Source organism: Homo sapiens, chromosome 1, assembly GCF_000001405.40.
Source record: "Homo sapiens chromosome 1, GRCh38.p14 Primary Assembly".
In the NCBI taxonomy this organism is placed as follows: Eukaryota; Metazoa; Chordata; class Mammalia; order Primates; family Hominidae; genus Homo; species Homo sapiens.
The window spans coordinates 167394067-167408921 of record NC_000001.11 but is presented as its reverse complement, the minus strand read 5'-3'; the positions used below and the strand labels follow the sequence as shown (position 1 = coordinate 167408921).

The 14855-nt window shown below is 36.8% G+C and overlaps 1 protein-coding gene across 13 annotated transcripts in view; it reads right to left on the bottom strand.

The window, feature by feature from the left end:
- The window catches only part of POU2F1 (POU class 2 homeobox 1), a 206461-nt gene that overhangs the window by 18424 nt on the left and 173182 nt on the right, over positions 1 to 14855 (bottom strand). For 12 of the 13 annotated variants that reach the window (NR_037163.2, NM_001365848.1, NM_001365849.1 and 9 more), the window contains 4 exons: positions 12495 to 12636; positions 10789 to 10928; positions 9557 to 9736; positions 7366 to 7471 (listed from right to left, as the gene is read on the bottom strand). Coding sequence is in view for 12 of the 13 variants with exons in the window: in NM_001365848.1 (NP_001352777.1) it covers positions 7366 to 7471; positions 9557 to 9736; positions 10789 to 10928; positions 12495 to 12636 (568 nt within the window). In the remaining variant the exon portion in view is untranslated. Of the gene's footprint in view, positions 1 to 7365; positions 7472 to 9556; positions 9737 to 10788; positions 10929 to 12345; positions 12390 to 12494; positions 12637 to 14855 lie in introns of those variants that run through there. The other variant, XM_017001508.3, reaches the window with a different exon arrangement.

Here is a 14855-nt window from a genome sequence, read left to right as displayed (position 1 = left end):
TACAACTCAATAGTAAGAATATAAACAACTTAGATTTTTAAATGGACAAATGTTAGTAGACATTTTAACAAGGAAGATATAGGAGTGACTAGTAAGCACATGAAAATTCATCCAGCTTTAAAATTTGATGACTTTTAATCAACTTACAGTTATACAACCATCATCACAATCCAGATTATGACATTTCCACTCCCAAAAAAGATCCCTTGTGCCTGTTTGTAATCATGTCACACTCCTACCTAGTTATCTGCTTTTTGTCTCTAGATTTTTGTGGACATTTCACACAAATGGAATCATACAATATGTAGTCTCTTGCATCTGGCTTCTTTTACTTAACATTCTGTTTTCAAGGTTCATCCACATTGTAGCACGAATCAACACCTCATTAATTTTTATGGCTGAATAATATTCCACTGTGTAGATATAACACATTTTGTTTATTCATTCACCAGTTGATGAGCACTGGTTTGTTTCCAGTTCTTGGATATTATAAATAAGGCTGCTATATAAACATTCACATTGAAGTTTTTGTGTAGAAATGTCTTCATTTCTCTTGGGGAAATTGCTGGGTAGGACGGTAAATTTATGTTTAAAAGAACTGCCAAGATGTTTTCCGAAGCTGTATCATTCTACATTCCTACAAGCAATGCATGAAAGTTCCAGTTTCTCCACATCCTTCCCAACATTTATCATCTTGGGTCTTTTTGATTATAGCCATTCTAGTGAGTACAAAGTAGTATCTCATTACAGTTTTAATCTGCACTTCCCTAATGAGTAATGCTAATGTCACATATCTCTCCATGTGCTTACTAGTCACTCCTATATCTTCCTTGGTAAAATGTCTACTAACATTTGTCCATTTAAAAATCTGAGTTGTTTATATTCTTACTATTGAGTTGTAAGAGTTGTTTATACATTCTAGACACAATTTCTTTATTGGATATGTGATCTGCAAATGTTTTCTCTCAGTCTGTGGCTTTTGAAGCACAAAAGATTTTACTTTTGATGAAGCTGAATTTACTAATTTTTTTTTCTTTTATGGATCGTTCTCTTGGTGCTGTGTATATGAACTCTGTGCTTAACCCAAGGTCACAAAGATTTTGTCCTACTTTATTTACTAGCAACTTTATAGTTTCAGCTCTTATATTTAGGCCTTTGATCCATTTCAGTTAATTTTTATGCACGGTGTAAGGTAAGGATCTAAATTCCTCTATTCCTCTTTCTGCATATGGATATCCAGTTGTCCTAGAACCATTTGTTGAAGACTGTCCTTTCCCTATTGAATTGCCTTGGCACCTCTGTCAAAAATCAATAAAGCATAAATTTAAAGTTTTGCTTCTGGACTCTTAATTTTGTTCCATTTAATCTATATATCTATATGTATACCAGTAATACACTGCTTTGATTATTGTTGCTTTACAGTAAACTTTGAAATTAGGACATGAAAATCCTCTGATTTCACTCTTTCTCAAAATTGTTTTGGCTATTCTTGGTCCCTTCCAAGAGTTTATCGATTTCTTTAAAACAAAACAAAGAAAAAACCTGTTGGAATTTTTACTATGATTTTGTTGAATCTATAAATCAAGCTGGAAGACTGAGCATGGTGGCTCATGCCTGTAATCCCAGCACTTTGGGAGGCCAAGGTGGGTGAATTGCTTGAGCCCAGGAGTTCGAGACCAGCCTGGGCAATATGGCAAAACCTCGTCTCTACAAAAAATACAAATATTAGCTGGGCGGGTGGCATGTGGCTATAGTCCCAGCTACCGGGGAGGCTGAAGTGGGAGGACTGCTTGAGCCTGGGAAGTTGAGGCTGCAGTGAAATGTGATTGCGCCACTGTGATAGGGCAATACCCTGTCTCGAAAACAAATAATAATAATAATAAAATATATAAAATAAATAAAATAAAAAAATATATATTTATGCTATAATGTGGATAAACCTTGAAATCAGAGAGAAAGAGAGATGCACATATATCTCAAGCTGGAGAAAAACTGTCATCTTAAGAATGCTTAGTCTTCCAAAACATGAACATGGAATATGAAATGTCTCTTTATTTAGACTTCTTTTAACTTCTTTCAGCAAATTGTAGTTTTCATTGTTCAAGTCTTACACTTCTTTTAAGTTTATTCCTAAGTATTTTATTCTTTTGATACTGTTACATACAAGTTATTTCCTAAATTTCATTTTTGAACTGTCCATTGATAGTACATACAAATGTAATTTATTTTTTATATATCAATCTTGTATTCTGCAACAATACTGAATTTATTGATTAGTCCTAGATACCTTTTTTTGGTGAATTCCTTAGTATTTTTATACATATAGAATAATGCAAATACAAGCAGTTTAACTTCTTCCTTTCCAAATTGTCTTCCGTTTTTTTTCTCCCCCTTACTGGAGGCTATAACCTCCAGGACGATGTTAATCAGAAGTCCACAAGAGCAAACAAACACTCTTACCTAATTCTCAATCTTAGTGGGGAAAGTATTCAGTCTTTTGCCATTAAGTATTCTATTTGCTGGAGAGTTTTAGTAAGTGCTCTTTATCAGGTGAGGCAGTTCCTTTGTATTTCAGCTTTCATCATGAATGGGTTTTGGATTTTTACAAATATCTTTTCTGTATCCACTGAGATGATTATGTGGTTTTTGTCCTTTCTTCTACTATTATAATGTGTTACATTAATTGATGTTCAGTTATTGTACTAACCATACATTCCTGGGAGATAAATCCTCCTTGGCCATGATGTATATAATCGTTCGATTTTTTCAGTATGTTGCTGGATTTGACTTGCTAAGATTCTTTTGAGAGTTTTGGTTTATATTTTCTCGAGGAATATGAGTTTGTAATTTTTTTTTCTTGTGCTATTTATCTAAGCTTAGGTATCTGGGTAATACCGGCCTGATAGGAAAATAGAGGAGAAATGTTATTTCTTCTTTGATGCATGTTTTAATTTTCAAATACATGGGGACTTCCCAAATTTCTTTCTATTGTTAATTTCTAGTTTATCTCAGTTGTCATCAGACAACACACTTTGTATGATTTTAATCCTTTTTAATTTACTGAAACTTGTTTTATGGCTAAAAGTATCCTGGGAGATGGATGTTCCATGTGTACATAAAAAGGATGTGTTTTCTGCTGTTGCTGGACCAAGTGTTCTGCAGATGGCAGTTAGAACAAGTTGGTTGATAGTGCTCAAATGTTGTATATCCTTCACGGCTTTTTTTTATTTTCCCCCAAACAGGGTCTCGCTCTGTTCTCAAGCTGGAGTTCAGTGGTACAATCTCAGCTTATTGCAGCCTCAACTTTCCAGGCTCAAGTGACCCTCCCACCTCAGCCTCCCGAGCAGCTAGGACTATAGGCACGTGCCACCACGCCTGGCTAATTTTGCTCATTTTTTTTTTTTTTTGTAGAGACAAGGTCTTACTATGTTGCCCAGGCAGGTTTTGAACTCCTGGACCCAAGCGATCCTTTCACCTTGGCCTACCAAAGTGCTGGGATTATAGGCATAAGCCACTGCACATGGCCTGAATTTTTTTTTTTTTAACGTGGCTCAAATAAATACTATGTCTGCAACTGTTATTGTTGAATTGTCTATTTCTTCTTTGAATTTTATTCCTTTTTGTTTCCTGTATCTTGGGCCTTTGTTGTTAAGGTGGCTATATAATTATAGTTGCTATATCTTCCTGAGGAATCAACAATTTTGTCACTATGAAAAATATTTTGGAAAATGAATTGGGGGCGGGGCATGTTTGGTTGAGATTATTAAGGGCTGTGGAATTTTTACAAGTTTTTGAGACACAATGGAACACTCGTCTTTCTGGAGGAGTATGGCAATGCTCACTTGCATCTATTTTAGAATGTTTACCAAGGACCTATTATGTGTCAAACGTACCTATGGGAAAATAAGATGACCACATCAATCAAACATGATTTTTCTTAGAAGATAGTGCTAAGGATATGGTTTTTCCCTTCATTTCTAAAATCCTATTCCAAATAATAGTAAAGAGATACAAAAGGGAAAAAGAGCTCTGGTGACAGGTATCAGAGGTTTTGAGATTTAGACAGATTTGCAGAAATGAGAAAAAGGATAAAACTGGATGGTGGAGAAATCAACCATAATCCAGAAGGGCACAGGAGAAGACTATGATAGAGGAGGAAATTATTCACTCTGATGGAGCCTCACAGAGAGTCCCAGCTCAGAGTTATTTGTCAGATACTGAGGTAGATGGAAATAGGGTCAGAGAACAGGGTGATTCAAGGGCTATTCACATAATAGCTCTCACAGTGGGCCTTTCCCTCCTTCTACCAGACCTCTCAAATGAACAGAACCAAAGTCACCTACTCTTGAAAGAAAATAAAATCTGACTATGGAACGCTAAGGATTCTAGTGTAGGTACTTGCATGCATGAGGAAAGATACCCCTCATTTTGGAAAAGTATGACAGAAAGCCTCGCTTGCCTGCCTGCTTCCTGTTCATAGGCTGAAATAAAGTTTGGCAGTTCTTTATTCACATTCACAGCTCACCGCGAGCCCTTCCATTCAGGGGAGGGGACTCTTGAGTAACAGAAGCTACACAATGTCAGGAAAAACCCTTACAGGCTACTGATAATAAGTAATGTAATCTTGCATTCATCACTACAAAAATCACCAGACAATGAAAAAAGCCAACAGCACATTACAAATGACACAAAATGAATAAACAGAGTGAATGCCAAAAAATCCTAACTTAAAAAAAAAAAAAGATAAATTACCAGAGTGCAAGAAATACATTAATTCACATTGAAAATGCTTGCTGAAGGCCAATGAGGGCAAGTTTTAAAAGGCCCCTTCTTTGAAACCTTGTAGTGAAATTTTAGAACAGTATAAGATTTTAAAAAACCCTTAAGGTTTACAGAGAGAAAAAACAAGGAAAAAGAGATTGAAATCAGACTTTTCACTAGCAACACTAGATGCTAAAACACAACAAAATTCAAAGGAAAAATACTTTTGTAACTGGACAAACTCCAAAAAATACTGTGAAGGCAAAATAAATACTTCTCAGTTATACATGTATTTAGAAGTTTTACCTCCCATGTAACCTTTCTAAATAAAATTACTTGAGAACGTGCTCCAGACAAAAAGGAATCAAAGAGGATGACAGGGCATCTGAGAAACATTGGATCTAACTCAGGAAAACAAGGAAAACAATTTAAAATAAGCAATCATAGAAATCCCAAGAAGAAAGTCTTCAGGAAGAAAGCAGATTGCATTACATAAGTTGTATGATTAAGACAATGGCCGTCTTTAATAAATAACATGATAAAGAAACATGCTACTTTTCTCAACAGAGAAAAAAAGAAGGCAGTATAAAAATATCAGAGGAAAAGAGGCTGTACAAGAAAGTTACAGTCCAAAGAGGAAAAACAAATTAAAAAGGGGCATGGTTTTGAGCAACGGCTGATAAAAGAGTAAGAAAAGAAAACCCACTTGACACTGACTCTTCTTCTCTTTCAAGGAGCAATGACACAAATTCGGCAGCTTAAATCATCACAATTTATTATCTCATAGTTTTTGTGGGTCAGGTGTCCAGGCAGAGCCTGAGTCCTCTGCTTAGAGTATCACAAGGCTGCAATCAAATACTGTACTGCACAAATACTACTGAAACTGTACATACATGTACATATAAAAAGGATTTAAAGAGAAAATAAAAATGGTACTTGTGATTGTTTTTCCTGTTTGAATTTCCTAATAATGTTTTTAATAATTAAAAAAAATTCACTCCAGGAAAAATTATCAACGTGTCAGAAAAAAATCACAAATAGATCCACATAAATAGGCTGAGTAAGAGTTCAAGAAAATGTGAGTGGTAAGAAGTATCAAAAACTGATGCAAATTTTTAGCTAGTTTTGAGTATTAAAATCTCTCTAAAATTACTTTGATTTTCCCCATATTTTAAGAAAACTGCAAAGCTATTTGTTCTTAATGTGTAAACTATTAACAAAATTTCTGTAAGAGACAGGTATTTTTAGACCTAAAGCAATATAATTTGTTGGGAAGGTAGGATTCAGTTCATAATTTACCAGGTGACTGGCAGTCAATTTGGACAACAAGGTCCTCAGAGATGGTTCTTCACATTCTTGGTGCCCAACACAATGCCAATCAATCACTAACAGTTTGCTTATTAAGTGGAAGTGCTCAATATTATATATATTCTTAACCAAGGTTCTTAAGTATATTCTTGAACCAAGGTTATTAAAACTGGAACCTGTAGGTATCCACAAATAGCCTTGGAGTGGGAGGTTGATGGGAGCTGTCATTTATAAATCTCCTTAAATTTTACTAAAAATTGTGTATATGTCTATTTTGTGTGAGGAAAAGTCTGTAGCTTTCAAATTCTTAAAAAGGTCCAACATCCAGAAGAGGTCAAGAAGTACTGTTTAACATAAGCAAAAATTAATGGATGATTGGATGCAGAAAACAATAAACAAAATGTTCTAATAATGTAGAAATTTAATATAATATAAAGCCATTTATTCAATTTTTACATCATGGGTAGGTCATAGAGCCAAGGAGGCATTGTAAACTTAAAACATGGGTGAGAAAAATAAAAGTCCCTACCTCTAGGTTAAATCAAGCTTCATTATGAAATATCATTAATCTACCCAATGATGTACTAGCAAATAACCAACCTGGTGAATAATTACAGCATGTCTTATGCACTATGTATCACTAAAAAACATCTGATGACAATGCTAAGTGATTTTAAATTTATCTGGAAAATTTGCTATTTAAAAGAGGCCAAAGGAAAAAAAAACATTCATTTTATAGTGAGTATGTCATGCACTGAGCTAGGCATCAAGAGTTCAAAAAGAATAATCAAATCTTTTGAGAAGTGCAGTCTATTGGGAAAGACAGGTGTGTAAAAATAAAATCATTTATAATACAGGTACATGGAAATGAATAGTTTCCTGGGAAAGCTAAAGAATATTTCCAAGAAAATTGACATACAAGCTGGTATAGTTTTATCAGTAACAGATCAAGAACTGCAGGCTAAGATGGACATTTCCATTGTAGGGATGTTTACAAAGGTATGGATGGAGGCCTCCTGTGTGTTGAGGGTGCGTAGGCAAAAGACTAGTGGGAGATCAGGTTCAGACCGGAAATAACCTTCACGAATTGACAAACTTGGAGGTTTTTCTGAATGCAAAAAGCCACGGCTATTGAAGGCTTTTAAGGAAAGGAGTTACTTTAAAGAAAATTGATATTTATGAGCAACACCTATCTTTAGTTAGGGCCTTAATTCACAATTTAATGGTAGACTCTTATAATAACCCAAAACGGGCCTCCCATGTGCTCAGCAGGTGCATGGCCTGGCAGCTGCTTACCTGTAACTGAAAGATTCGTCACAGCAGCACTGGTCAGAGGGAGGACAGGGCTGACTGTGAGGGTAGTTGCTGCACTGCTAGTCACAAGGCTTGGTGTGGTCGCCACCTTGAGGTCAGAAATGAAAACATGGACAAAGCACTTAAAATCAAAACTTAAAGAGGAAATGATTTTACAGTCTTTCTTTGATCTTGGAATTGAGACACCTGACATCCTATGTTGGAAAGCTGCTATTCGAAGATGGTTGTTCACTGATATCACAGATAGCTTTGCCTGGGTTTTAAAAATAAATAATAAAAAGTTCGTAAATTTCAATAGCGTTGAGACAGATATACTCTAAGTCGGTAAGAAACATTATACTAATTATCAACTTTACCTAAATAAGAAAACTATTTGACAGGATCAGGGAATCTGGGGTACATGTATTACTTTTACTTTTGACTCTGTAGGGGGGCAGTATTGCCTTAGGTTTGGTTTTAATAAAATAAAATTATGAAAATAATGTGAAGCAAACTTTTAAAAAAAACGGATTAGTTTTGAAATAACAAAAAATTCTAGTTTTGCAAGAAATACTGTCTTTCTTTTAGTACAAATCTAAAACACAAACATCACCTTTACAAAACAAAATTGTTGATTAATAATTATCTTTTTCATAACTATCTCATAACTTTATGACTACAGGCCCACCATTTAACAACTACAACCTTCACATAAACTAACATGTGCTTTTAATGCTGACCTTAGTTTAAAAAGCCTGCCAGTATGGAATGACATTCAAATAAAATAAAACCAAATTTAAAAAGAACAGAAATGCAAACTCAACAATATTCCCATCTTTTGAATCCTGACAATGTAGAAGTCAAATTCATAATCATCCTAAAAACCAAGGGAGTCATACGACCACTGTATGTCTCTTCAGTCTAGGAATAATGCAAACAGCAGAAGTTACTCAATGAGGCTTCACAGGAAAGGATCATATGTTGTTTCAAAGTAAAAGACCTGAGATGATTGTTTTAATACAAGTTCAGAACTGAAGGTTATCTGGTAACTTATTGTCACTTAATCACGTGAGTGTAAGTTTAATAAACTGGGCTTTAGGACTCAACATGAATAAAAAGTAACAAGATTTTCTGAGATAACTGGGATCAGCAGCAAATTTACTCCCATGGTTACAGAGTAATCTAATGAACTATACCAGAGAAGAGTATGATGGAAATGTGATGAAAGAATTAAAATTGTTCACTTTAAAAAATAAGATAGGTGGGCTGGGCGCAGTGGCTCACACCTGTAATCCCAGCACGTTGGGACTTTGGGAGGCTGAGGCAGGTGGATCACCTGAGGTCAGGAGTTCAAGACCAGCCTGGAGAACATGATGAAACCCTGGTCTCAACTAAAAATACAAAAAAATTAGCTGGGTCTGGTGGCGGGCGCCTGTAATCCCAGCTACTTTGGGAGGCTGAGGCAGGAGAATCGCTTGAACCCAGGAGGCGGAGGTTGCAGTGAGCTGAAATCGTACCATTGCACTCCAGCCTGGGCAACAAGAGTGAAACTCTGTCTCAACAAAAAAAAAAAAAAAAAAAAAAAAAAAAAGACTGGGAATGGTGGCTCACACCCGTAATCCCAGCACTTTGGGAGGCCAAGGGATCACTTGAGGTCAGGAGTTCAAGACCAGCCTGGCCAACATAGTGAAACCCTGCTTCTGCTAAGAGTACAAAAAATTAGCCGGGAATGGTGGTACACGTCTATAATCCCAGCTACTCGGGAGGCCAAGGCACAAGAATCGCTTGAACCCAGGAGGCGGAGGTTGCAGTGAGCCAAGATCGCACCAATGCACTCCAGCCTGGGTGATGGAATGAGACTCTGTCTCAAAAAAATAAAATAAATAGAAAAATAAATAAAAAATAAGCAAGACCAATAAGTTCTTGGGTTAATAACAACACGAGATTTCACCCTCCATGCAGGGGCACCTCAAGACCAGTGACCTCAGCAGAGAGAGAGAGAGAGCACGAGAGACAAGGAAAGAGAGAATGAGAATTTCATTACCTTGGTAATGTCTAAAATACAAATTTACATGCATTTATTTGATGTATTTATTCATTAAATTACTATTATGAAATAAACTGATTTAACAGGTCATTTGTAAAATTGCAAAAATTAGCCCTTGAGCTTGCACTCCCTATTTTTTATTCTTACCAGTGAAGTTGGGCTGGGGAAAATTGCTTTAATAGGTGAGCTGCTGGTCCCACCACTGCTTGGTGGGTTGATTCTTTTTTCTTTCTGGCGGCGGTTACAGAACCAAACACGAATCACCTCTTTTTCCATATTGAGCTGATCAGCAATCATAGTGATCTCTTCCGAGGTAGGCTTTTGATTCTGCAGGGTGAAAAGATGTAATTCCAAAAGCTATCCTTTGCAATAACTTTTTGAACTACTGGCATAATCACGTCAGGTTAGAAAATGAAGCTGGGATACATATGACCATCCACATTAGGCCACTTTCAACAAAGAGATTGTGTAGATAGAAGTTCTAATGAACATACACCTATTAAACTTATTCATATTAACTTAGGATAAGTTATCCTTAAATATCTATAGTTTTTCATTTTTAAGATCTATTAATTGTGAATGAAATTAACAAAATACCAGTACAACCACATGTATTAGTAGGAATTTAACCTTTCTCCATGCTTCATGCTATCTAATTTGGATCTCACAGTAAGAAAGGCAGGTATTTCACAATGAAGGACCTTTAGCTTAAAGAAATCACATGATTTGCCCAATCACACAGTTTAAGTGGCAGAGCTGACAAAAACTCCTAATTCAGAGTCCTCCCAATGTGCTCAAGTCTTTTCTGAATTAGAGAAGTCAAAATTTTCTTAAAAGCTTTGTTATGATATTACCTGGTACAAAAAAATAATTGCCAAATATCTCTTGCATTAACTTAAGCTCCATAGCCTAACACTCAAGGTCTCTAGTGTTCCAGTCCCAAACTACTATTCCAGGCATACAGACACTACAATTTAACCAACCAATCTACTAGAGTGTCTCCTCATACACCCTATGGTTTCCCTCACTCCAGTGTTTCTCCCCCACTCTGAGGGGGAAACGCTCATGCATTTCCTCTGCTTAAAGTACTTTCCCCCCACCTTTTCTAGTCTGTGGAATTAATTCCTATGTATCCTATGGTAAGCTGCCACCTCTCTCATACTGAGTGCTTGCATGGATGTGATTCTAGTCTCTCCTGAACCCTGCAGAACTCTGGTTCTGTCTCCTATGTTAGTAACTTACTTACTTCACCTATTTATAATCATCCATAAGAGCAGAGGCTGACATGTCATCTTTTACCACCTACAGTTTCTACTAAGTACTAATGTTAAGTACTACACAGACAATCCCATGTACAGAAAAGTAAAATCCTCACTGACCTCCAAGAAACTCTTCTCTAAGGCCACACGGATGTTGGTCTCTATGCTGGTGCGTTTCTTCCTCCTACGGCTCAAGCCCTCAATTCCTGGAGAATTCAGGGCACTTGGGCTGGAGAGGGACGAATCAGATGAGAGGTTCTCTGTAAGAATGAAGAAAATACAGAAATAAAATTAGCTGAGCACAGTGATTCATGTGCATAATATGCATATTAACAACAAAACTGACAAAATAAGCTACATCCAAGTATGAAAAGGTTTTCACATAACCTACATTACAATATTGCTTATTGGCCGGGCATGGTGGTTCACACCTGTAATCCCAGCACTTTGGGAGGCTGAGGCGGGAGGATCACTTGAGGTCAGGAGTTCAAGACCAGCCTGGCTAAATGGTGAAACCCCATCTCTACCAAAAATACAAAAATTAGCTGGGCACAGTGGCGTGCGCCTGTGGTCCCAGTTACTTGGGAGGCTGAGGCAGGAGAATCACTTGAACCTGGGAGGTGGAGGCTGCAGTGACCTGAGATGGTGCCACTGCACTCCAGCCTGGACAACAGAGTGAGACCATGTCTCCCCCTACCCACCACCCATCCCCCCAATATATATATATTTACTACCATGGATATTTCTGCTGCCCTTATTGGCATTCTTTCTGCTAGGATGGTTGACAATATTACCACTATGTTTGGATTTCTGTTTCTGAGACAGAAGAGGTTTACTATTCCTATCCTTAAACTCAGCTCTATGTCTCCAGTTCTGTTTGTTTATAAGTTCTGGGGATAAAAGGAAGAAAGTTTCTTAGAAATTACTGAACGTTTAATATTTATCTTGTAAATGGCCTCTCATTTTATTGGTATAATCTAGGGTAAAAAGAAAAGAAACAAATGAAATATTTATAAATTCTCTGAAGTTAAATCACAGGGTTCTATAATTTCACAGTTTAATAACCTTGGGCATGTCATACACATCTGAGTTTGTTTCTGCTACACGTAAAATAAGATGGAAACAGTAAACCAGTGGTTCTTATCTGTGGACTTGGGAAACAGATGCCTAGGCCTCACCCATAGCTACTGAATAAAACTGTCCAAGGATGCGTGTTTCAGGTTTGTCTTTTCCAAAGGCCTAATTTTTGTTCATATCTACAATAAGAACCATAGTTTAAGGGATCTACATGACTCCTACAGCTTTCATAGTCTATGATCCTGTGACTCAAAATTCCAATCTTCCAAAAGGAACTCTCAGCACAAAAAAACGTAAGACAAAGCTAGTAGTCCAACTTTTCTGAATGAAATGTGTGGTCATTTGAAATAACAAAAGCAGAACTATTGCAAGAACAAGTTCTATGATAATTCATCAAGGAAGAAACAATAAGCTTCTACTTCAAGCTTATCTAAATACAAAAGCCTTACTTATCCTATTCCTTCAACTGTGTGTGTGTGTGTGTGTGTGTTCCTAATCCTGGCTCAAATACAAGAGTATTTCAGGCTAAAAATTACGGCTAATTATTTATACTGTAATTACTAGAATATTTAAATGAATCAGCTTTCTGATTTATATCACCATAATTTATAATGATCCTCCCAGGATTAGTAAGCTTCAAGGTTCTGTAACAACAAAAATAGAGTAAGAAATATAAACCCCAATTTATATAACAATCCCCATGTAAAATTCCAATGAATGACAAAGAAATGTCTTATACAGTCACTTACCTGCATCATTTAGCCACTTCTCTAAAAGTGGCTTCAACTTGCACATGTTCTTAAAGCTGAGGTTCAAGGCTTCAAATCGAGAGATGGTAGTTTGGCTGAAGTCATTTCCATATAGTTTCCCCATAGCGAGCCCAACATCACCCTACACACAATACAGAGCAGGAGAAGAGGAGAGGAAAGACAGAGTTATCTCACCAGTGCTTAAAGCCTTCACTCTGGGGTGTTGCTCCAATAACTGCTTTAGACAAGGAGTCAGTAATTATTCCACTTACGGGGTCCCACATAAACTCCATCCCTAAGCCAGTCACAGTGTTACTGTGAGGACTCTTTTAGGCCTGATCGTTACAATGTTCAATACTGTCCCACATACTTTCCCATTTTGAATCTCTTCTTGCCACCTTATGTAATCATGGAGATACCAAAATTTCAACTAGGTATCAAAAATAGTGCTAATATTCTAACAAGCCCCTTAATTGATACAACCAAAGTGATTTAAGTAATTTTTAAAAATGTATTTATCTGGTCTGGGCACAGTGGCTCACACCTTTAATCCCAGCATTTTGGGAAGCCTAGGCCTACATGGGTGGAATGCTTGAGCCCAGGATTTCCAGACCAGCCTGGAGAACATGGCAAAACATCTACAAAAAATACAAATATTAGGCAGGTATGGTGGCGTGTGCCTGTAGTCCTAGCCATTTGGGAGGCTGAGGTGGAAGGATCGCTTGAGCCCAGGAGGTCAAGGCGGTAGCAAGCCGTGATCATGGCACCGCACTCCAGTCTGGGTGACAGAGCGAGATCCTGTCTCAAAAAAAGAAAAAAATTTAAAAAAGAAAAATAAAAATAAATTTATCTGTATCACCTACAGATATTATGTATAACTCTCTAGATAACCCAAGATATTTACGAACTAATCAAACTTCCCAAAAATCACTTTAAAAATTAGAAATCATCTCTTTTCTTCTTTTCCCTATCAAGTATTTCTGGACGCAGTGAAAAAAAAATCTATTTTCACTCCTAGTTTGGATTTCAAAGTTAGTTACAAAAAACAGGTATTCTAAAAGACTACTTTTGTAACCATCATAGAAATAGAAATTCACAGTAGAGAGGTTTGACCCATTTAGTCAAACCTTCATGGGCAATGGAAACTTAGTAACCTTATAGCAATAGAACAATGATGCCCTGAATATATTACAAAAGATGTCTTTCTCTATAAGCCTATAACCTTTGAAATGTATACAGAGCTTTTCTTCTTGCTGAATCTCTCTTGATCAAACTGGGAAAAAAGCGTAAGATAGTTGCTTTATATACAGGAAACAGAGGCTCACGGAGTTTAAATGATTCACCCATTCATTTCAATTAGTTTAGTGACAGGGCAGAAAGGCAACATCATTTCTGGTCCAAAGTACTATACAACTAATCCTACTATGAGACAGCCAACTCTCAACTATCCTGGCAACACTTGTTTGAACTGGGATTATCCCAGTCTTTTGATTCCCCCCTACCCCTAAATCCATCTTTTGAACACTACATTTTTTATTAGCACATTGAATACTACATTTTTTATTAGGTGGTAGTTGGGTTAAAAAAGTAACATATTTTTAAAACCCCATTTTCTTTTTGGTGAGCAACTTCTGATAAAAAGTTTAACAGATGAGAAATATTGAAATGTAAGACAAAATGAGGCACCCAGAATACCTGAACTTCAAGTGATTGATATCCTCTGCCTTCCCATATAGCCACCAGCCACAAGTGGCTATTTAAATTAATTAAAACCCAATAAATTAAAAATTCAGTTCTTCAGCATCACTAGCCCTTCCAAGTGCTCAATAGCCATAAGTAGACAGTGGCTATTGTATTGGACATCCCATGTCCAATGTACAGAACACCCCATCATCACAGAAAGTTTTAATGACAGTTCTGAATATACTGAAGTAGACTGTTTATTGATTTCATTCCAATTACCATAAAACTGCAAGAATCAGAATCAGTGGTGAGCAGGGCATAAATGCTATCCATTATACTGTATACAAATATGTCTAAAGACACAGATGATTATGTTTATCTATACCTGTATCTCTATATATTTATTAAAATGTTACTTCATTCAGGCAGGGCACGGTGGCTCACAACTGTAATCCCAGCACTTTAAGAGGCCCAGGCGGGTGGATTATTTGAGGTCAGGAGTTCGAGACCAGCCTGGCCAACATGGCAAAACCCCCGTCTCTGTTAAAAATACAAAAATTAGTTGGGTGTGGTGGCACACCCCTGTAATCCCAGCTACTCAGAAGGCTGAGGCACGAGAACTGCTTGAAACCTGGGAGGCAGAGGTTGCAGTGAGCCGAGATCATGCCACTGCACTCC